At 40.3% G+C, this 7,845-nt stretch overlaps 1 annotated feature.

Moving 5' to 3' along the window:
* Nucleotides 5,607-6,806: an enhancer, noted in NCBI's record as "P300/CBP strongly-dependent group 1 enhancer chr1:242792333-242793532 (GRCh37/hg19 assembly coordinates)". NCBI's record gives its function as "activates an origin of replication core promoter dependent on BRD2, BRD4, P300/CBP, MED14 and CDK7 cofactors, with strong dependence on P300/CBP, by STARR-seq in HCT116 cells {active_cell/tissue: HCT116}" and the evidence as "EXISTENCE:reporter gene assay evidence [ECO:0000049][PMID:35650434]".

Below are 7,845 nucleotides of genomic sequence, written 5' to 3' on the forward strand. Positions count from 1 at the left end.
TGTCAAGAAAATGAAGAAAAGCCACAGAATTAAGATGAAAAGGAAGATAATTAAGAAGTAACTTTTTTCGTTCCCCACAAATCTAGTTCAAGCCACTTACCTAAAACACTACTGGGACTGCCAAAATATTTATACTTTATGTTTTATTTTACCAGCTTAGAAAAACTTGTGCAATTTTCAGATATTTTGTCTCAGTTGTTCAGCAACAATCACCCTAATCTGACAGAGAAGCAGGTCCACCTGCATTTATATTCTCCCCTTAGACATGGGAAATAGGAATATTGACCCAGGTATAACACATTTGAGGCCTACAATGTGCAGGATGCTGGGCTTTATCTTGGGAATCAGAGGCTGTGAGTGGACGAGAAATATGAAGAAGACAGTTCTTACTTTGGGGGAGGGAGAACATAAACAAAGAGTTCTAACGCAATGAGGTGAGTGTCACGATAAAGATAAGTAGGATACGAATGGAAGTATGGAGAGGAACAGGGAGTCTCTGCAGGAAAGTGTGCAAGCTGGGTGATTCAGTGAGCAACGAGGCTTGAAGTGCAGTCTCCAGAGAACCATTATGTAATAGCCCAACCTCCTTTTATTCAACTTAAATCAATTTCATTTGGAACATTGAGAGGGAGGCTGAAGCAAATTGGCAAGATATAACCAGCACTTGCCTATTGGTTAACTGGGGAAGAGTTGACTACATTATTTTAGTTATACTGCCTATTTTTTAGAATAGGATAAACATAGATAAAGGAAGCAGAATAATTTCTAAGTCTCCTTTTTCAGGACTAGTGTTTCCAAATGGGTAGCCCTGGGATCATGCTGTTCTTGAACGTCTGACACACAGGTGAAATAAGTGAATGCTAGAATTAATGAATGGAAGTTACAAAAAAAAAAACAAAATTAAAAAAAAAAAACAGCAGGTCTTTATCCCAATATGAGAGAGAAATATTCACACACTGGGTTCTCTGGGCTGGAATGGATGGACTCTCCAGAAAGTGAGTATCCCTTTGTTAGCTATGCCCAAGCATGTGAAAGAAAATTTCCTCTGGTGGATGGGAGTTTGAACTTGATGGTCTTTAAGACCCGTCCAACTCTAAGTTCTATAAACAAGTCTCCCTTTTGAGTTTCTGACTTAGCCTGGGTTCCATAGAAAACAAAGCTTGAAACAAAATTGATTTACTAAGGCTTTATTGGAAGATATGTTTTCAGGGAAGCTAGAGCAAGGGAAAGAAGGATGTAATAAAAGAAGAAAAAGCAAATGCCAGCTGGTCACAACATTACAAGAAACTCGGCTGGGGCGTGAGCAGGTGGAATGTCTTCCAGACAGGCAGGGCAGAAATCCCCGGCCTCACAGAACACCGTCTGATGCAGAACAAAAGGAGGAATGATTTATCTGCTGAGTTTTTCCCATCTCCTGTTTCTTACTGGTCAAAGTTTGTTCAGAGGAACTTTGATCCTCCTGCACTTCTAGGTGGTGTTGCCTTGAGCTTCAAGGTAGTTGCTAAAAAAGCTAGATGCTGTACTTTGCAGTGTGGGTCTGGATGTGCATCTAGAAGGCGTTAAGGTAACCATACTCTGTCTGCTCAAGCAAGGTCATGAGAGACGGAGACCTCGCCCTTCCTGGCCCTCATCCCTATGGGAAGCTGAAAAAGTCTGAGGTGATAGGAGGCTGAGCCAGGTGGCAGCAACCAGGGCTCTCCCTGGAGCAAGCAGTAAAGCCCCAGGGCCAGTGAAGCTGAGCAAATGAGCTAGGTCCAAGAGAATATCCTGGCCTCCTATTTCCAACGTGAACTCTCTCCTGAGTTAGAGCCTTTTTTTTTTTTTTTTTTTTTTGTAAGCAGGGTCTCACCCTGCTGCCGAGCCTGGAGTGCAGTGGTGTGATCATCATTCATTGCAGCCTCAACCCCTCGGTCTCAGTTGATCCTCCCATCGTGGCCTCCTGAGTAGCTGGGACTACAGACATGTGCCACCATACCTGGCTAACTTTTTGTAGTTTTTGTAGAGATGGGGTTTTGCCATGTTGTCCAGGCTAGTCCCAAACTCCTGGGCTCAAGCAATCCACTTGCTTGGGTCTCCCAAAGTACTGGGATTACAGGTGTGAGCCACTGTACCTGACCCACGTTTGATTTTCTAATTCAACGTTAAAACTTAGCCAGTATGCTGTAGAGGTGGGAGCAGAAATGAGAAAAACAAAGAGTAAACTCACCAAAGAAAAAACTACTAAATAGAAAGATGGTTGTAAGACAGAAACAAACAAAAAAAAGATTCAAAGCAAAAGCAGTTTGGAAGGACAGCTTCATTGGAATGCTTTCTCATTGTTCTTGCCTTCTTTCAGGAGTGTCAAGTTGACATGATTCCATGGAAAATGCATTTTTCATGAACAGGGGTGGCTGTGACCTTTAGCTCCTGGAGTTGGAGGGCAGCCCCCTAAGGGAGGCTGACTGTGATTCCAGGATCACAGCGTGGAATCCGCATGCCCAGGGTGGGCAGGAACTTCAAGGGCCTTTGCAAGGACTGTCTGAGCTGCTCTTTGCAGAGTTATGGGTGGGCAGGAAGACTGGTTAACTGGCTAAGATCTTACTGCATCACAGTTTGTATGTTTCTGGGCTGCCTGTGCCTCACAGTTGGAAGATGCTTCTTCTTTCTGACAGATGCACAATTCACGTCTACAGTCTAAACAAAATGGGCTACAAGGAAGGAATCAAAATAACTTCAAGTATTTAGTACGGAGAAGGAAATCACAGGGTAAAAGGCTTTTGATGCAAGCATCTGGCCTCAATCGTCTCACCTCCCATTCCCCTCTGACCCCAATGTCATTTAGCTCTATCCTCACTACAGATGGACATATTCTGTCAAAGTCATCTAGAACCTCCAAATTGATGAATCTATTGCCCTATTCCTAGTACTCAGCCACTTCAACTCTCTGCTGCCCTTAGCATTTGCAATCATTCTCTTCTTCAAATGTAGTATCTCTTCTGTGGACATTACCTCTCTCTTCAGATTCTCCCCTTTCCCCTTGGAGCCCTTCAGTGATCTCTTCAGTTGGTTTCCCATCATCCAATAGCCTCTCAAGGGTTAGTTCTTCGGAGGGTGGCCATGCCCACTTTTCCTCATCCATGGTTATAGATTCAATGACCAATTACATGTTCATGGCTCCCAAATCTGCATTTCTATCCCTGCCCTCTCACCGGGGCTCTGGAATCTTATTTCAAACTATTTACTGGATATTATCTGCTAGATGCCCCATTAGATGTCTCAAGATGTATCAAGTTCAAGTCGGCCTGCATCTTGCCTCCCAGATGTGTTTTCTCTCATTCATTGTGTAGTTTGGTAGATGATATTGCCCATCCAACCACCCTCAAAACTTTGGGGTCATCCTAGACTTTTCTCTCTCCTTCACATACCCTCTGACCCAAGAGATAATGGAGTCACTTCTCCCTCTCCCTGTCCCTTAATCTTTGGTGCTCCCATCCAGGCCCTCATTATCTCTGAAATCTATTGTCCTTGCACCTTCTCCGTTTCTAAAGTCTGTCCAACTTCTACTACCTTGAGATCTTCTTCTGAAACACAAATCTGATCACCTTATTCCCTAGTGTCATGAGTCATGGTCTCTAGAAACAGAGTCTAAGACAGGATAGGGGTACTTGTGATTTTCTGAGGGGTGCTCTCAAGAAAAACCTGCAAGAGGAGGAGTGAAGAGGATAGAAAAGAGACAGGAATAGGGGTACTTCTGAATTTCTGAGGGGTCCTCTCAAGAAAAACTTGCAAGGGAAGGAGTGAAGAGGATAGAAAAGAGGAAAGTATGTGCTGTTGGGGGATGTCTAGCCTTGACCCGATCTGCTGAGGGAGGACTCTGAACCAAAACCACAACACAATGGTTTCCCATGAAGGTACAGGGGCTGGTCTTTTTATCCTCAGATAAATCCATCATGGGCTGTGCATTGCTCAAGATATCAGTGGGGAGAGGGGAGTAACTTCCCAGGCAAAGTGACTCCTATCAGCTGAGGACAATTATCCTAAGAAGAGAAGCATTTGTGAGCCTCTAGCAGCCAACATGTGTACCAGTTGGAGGAAGTGTGCTTTGGTAGTAAGTGGGAGCCAGGCATGGCCCCAAAGCAGCTACTGCACTATGCTTAAAGTTGCATTTTAGCTCTCCATTCAAGCAGAATAAATTAAAAACCACTAAGCATGGCCCTTCTCTGCGTGACCCTTGCCAGCCTTGTATCTTACCATTGTCTTTTTTACCTGACATCCTTACTGAATGTTCCCTATAGACTGGATCTCCTATGCATGTTTTCACCACCACTCTTTTGGTCCTGGTGTTCCCTCTGCATGGAATTCTCTTTCTTCCTGCTCACCTGAAAAACTCCAGCTCAAATGTCATACTTGTGAGGCCATGATTCAAATATCTAGGCAGAATTAATTACTCCTATGCCTGCCCTTGTCATTGCATTCTATATAAAGCTCCCTTATAACCACTCTTGAAATTGTAAATATTTTCTGGAGTGCTTGTTTCTTCACTAGATCATCTGAGGACACATATTCTATGTCTCCCAATCTTTGAACCCCAAGACCTAGCAAAGGTCTAGTGCTTTGTAAAGACTCCATAAATGTTAAATTAAATTGTGTATCTGTGGCCTTTATATAAGCAGCAATTGTCACATCTCTGAGGCAAAGAACAATTCATAAGGTCTTCAGCTATTACACAATTGCTGATTTGAATGCACTTTAGCTCATTGTTATGAATACCTTTGATTTTGCAATGTTTATTGCACTTCCTCTCCCCTTTATTCCATCCCTATTTCTTTTGTGGTTTTCACCTCACAGATATTGAATATAGACAAGGTTCAGGTTTTGTGGCAAGAATTGAGTGCTCCTTAGAATGTTATCTCTGTGAATCCAAAAGACAAATAAAAATTACTGATCAAACCAAAGCAGTGTCTTCTGAAAGTCATATCTATCAGAGGTGATATTGACGCTAACGGAAAAAGATGACAAAACCTCCCTTTGATTCTGCAATTTGGCATGCTCAAGGCATTCGAAAAGTAGCTCTTTTCTTTGTGGTAACTTTCATGTATCTTCTGCCACTTCTTTCCAGCTGATTCAGGCTTACATTATATACAATAAAATTCATCTTTTCAAAGTGTACAGCTTGTATACAGTCATGTAACCACCATCCCCTTCCATATCTAATGCCCTCAGTCACTCTTTGACCTACTTTGTCTAGTGTTTCACATAAATGCAATCATACAATATAATCTTTTGTGTTTGAATTATTCCACTTAGCACAATTTTTACATCATTATTATTATTATTAAAATGGAGTTTCGCTCTTGTTGCCCATGCTGGAGTGCAATGGTGTGATCTCGGCTCACTGCAACCTCCGCCTGTCAAGTTCAAGTGATTTTCCTGCCTCAGCCTCCCTAGTAGCTGGGATTACAGGCGTGTGCCACCACACCCAGCTAATTTTGTATTTTTAGTAGAGACGGGGTTCACCATGTTGGTCAGGCTGGTCTTGAACTCCTGATCTCAAGTGATCCACCCGCCTCAGCCTGCCAAAGCACTAGGATTACAGGCATGAGCCATTGCGCCTGGCCAGCAAAATTTTTTTAAATTTATTCATGTTACTGTGTTTAATATCTTGTTCCTTTGTTGCATGCATATTCCACAATTTATCATTCGCCAGTTGATAAACATGTGATTATTTTCATTTTTGGCTATTATGAATGATGATGAATATTCATGTACATGTCTTTTTGTGAACATGTATCTTCACTTCTCTCCAGATGATTGTGCTTGGTTATATTAGTGCATATTTAACTTTCATAAGATATTGCCAAATTGCTTTCTAAGGTGGTCGTACCATTTAATACACCAAAAGCAGTGTAGGAGAGTTTCAGTTGCTTCACATTCTCTCCAACACTTGGTATAGTCAGTTTTTTTTTGTTTGTTTGTTTGTTTGTTTGTTTGTTTTACTTTGGTCATTCTACCAAGTGTATAGTGGCAACTCTTTGTGGTTTTAACTTGCATTTCTTTGATGACTAATATTTTATGTGCTTAATGGCTACGTTTGTCAGGAGAAGCTGACAGCTCAGCATTCAGTCAGGCAAAGCTTCCTCTTATTCAGGTCTTCAGTGGGTCAGATGAGGCCCATGGACATTACGGGGGCAGTTTTACTCAGCTGCTGATTCAAATGTGAATCTCATACAGAAACACCTTCACTGACACACCCAAAATGGGGTTTGGCCAAATGTTTCGGCACCCTGTGGATTACTTAGTCACATTCACACATAAAATTAATCATCACAGCAACTACTCACATCTCCTCTTTTGTGAAGCATCTGTTCAAATATTTTATCCAGTTTTTGCTGGAGGTAGGGAGATTGTCTTCTACTTGAGTGATTTTTAAGATATATTTTGGATGAAAACCCTTTGTCAGATATCTATTTTACAAAAATTCTTAATTTTGAGGAAGTCTATGCTTTTTGTTTCATTTGGCGAATGATATTTTTGTGTGTTCCGTTTAAGAGAACTTTGCCTAATCCAATGTCACAAAGATTTTATCTTACGTTTCCTCCTAAAAATTTTGTCAAACACTAGCCCTTTGTTTTGTGGTCATTTTCATTTATCTATTTTCAATTTTTAAGTGTAGTGTCTTTCAGAAGTGCCTATTATATGATAAAAAACCATATGAGACACACATGAAGGAAATAATTGACCATTTGTTTTATGGTTATCATCGTTATAAAGTAATATGTAAATTAAGATCAGACTTTTGAAAAGATTCTAGAAAAAATATATACCAAAATGGAATAGTGTTCATCTCTCAGTGATAATATTATGAATATTTTCTTACTTTTGCTTACCTATAATTTTCTGATTGTTTTCAAAAGAGTAGGTCTATAATTTGTATATTTTTAAATACCCTTAATATGCATAAGTAGTAATAAATAGTAACTTATTTATTTAAAGAATTAAGCTTATTTCTTGTTATGTCTTATTTGGTACATTTAAGAAAAGCAAAAAATTGTTTATGAAGCTGGAGCTTTCACCTGAGTACACCCATTTCTTTGATATGTGTAGTTACTACATAGTGTTTTTATTTGTATTTTATTCAAATATCTAGGAGGTCTTTTCATTGACTTTGAATGAAAAGCTCCAAGATTTTATTCTAGTCATTATATCAGATAGGAGTGAAATAAGAAGATTCTGTTACCCTTGACGTCCTCATCAAATTACCCTTACCCCTTTGCTTGGGTTCACCTTCCTTGAGACTAGGAAAAGTCGATGAGAATAATTAAGATTGTAGGTGGCTACAATTGCAAGAATTCAAGCCATTTAATAAAAAGCACCATACCAGGGAAGTGAGCTGGCCTCTCCAGAGATGTAGAGCTCACTAAGATAGTTGAGGCAATGTGATTCCTTGGACACTGGTATTTGCTTTACAATCACACCTGCAGGAATAACAACACAATTCTAGTACCAGAGAATGTCTTGATCTAGCAGTTCAGTGCAATGCCTTTTATTTACAACTGAAGACAAACCCTACATGATCTCATCCTTTTCTACTGCATACATTTGTTCCAAACCTTCCAATGTCCATCTGGTTAGAACACAGCCCCTAAGTATTATTTTCTTCATTTACAGGTGGATTTTCTCTTTATAATATTAACATAAGCAGCAGGCCCAAAGCCTGACAACCAACCTTGGCTCTTCCCAAACACAACTTACATTGCTGACGATGGTCCATTTTCAAATCATTCATTCAGTGGCAATGAATATCACTTATTATGAAGGTATCTCAAATTACCCAAAACACACATTAAAGTTTACAGCAGGAATTCA

The sequence above is a fragment of the Homo sapiens genome, chromosome 1 (assembly GCF_000001405.40).
Source record: "Homo sapiens chromosome 1, GRCh38.p14 Primary Assembly".
NCBI classification, from domain to species: Eukaryota; Metazoa; Chordata; class Mammalia; order Primates; family Hominidae; genus Homo; species Homo sapiens.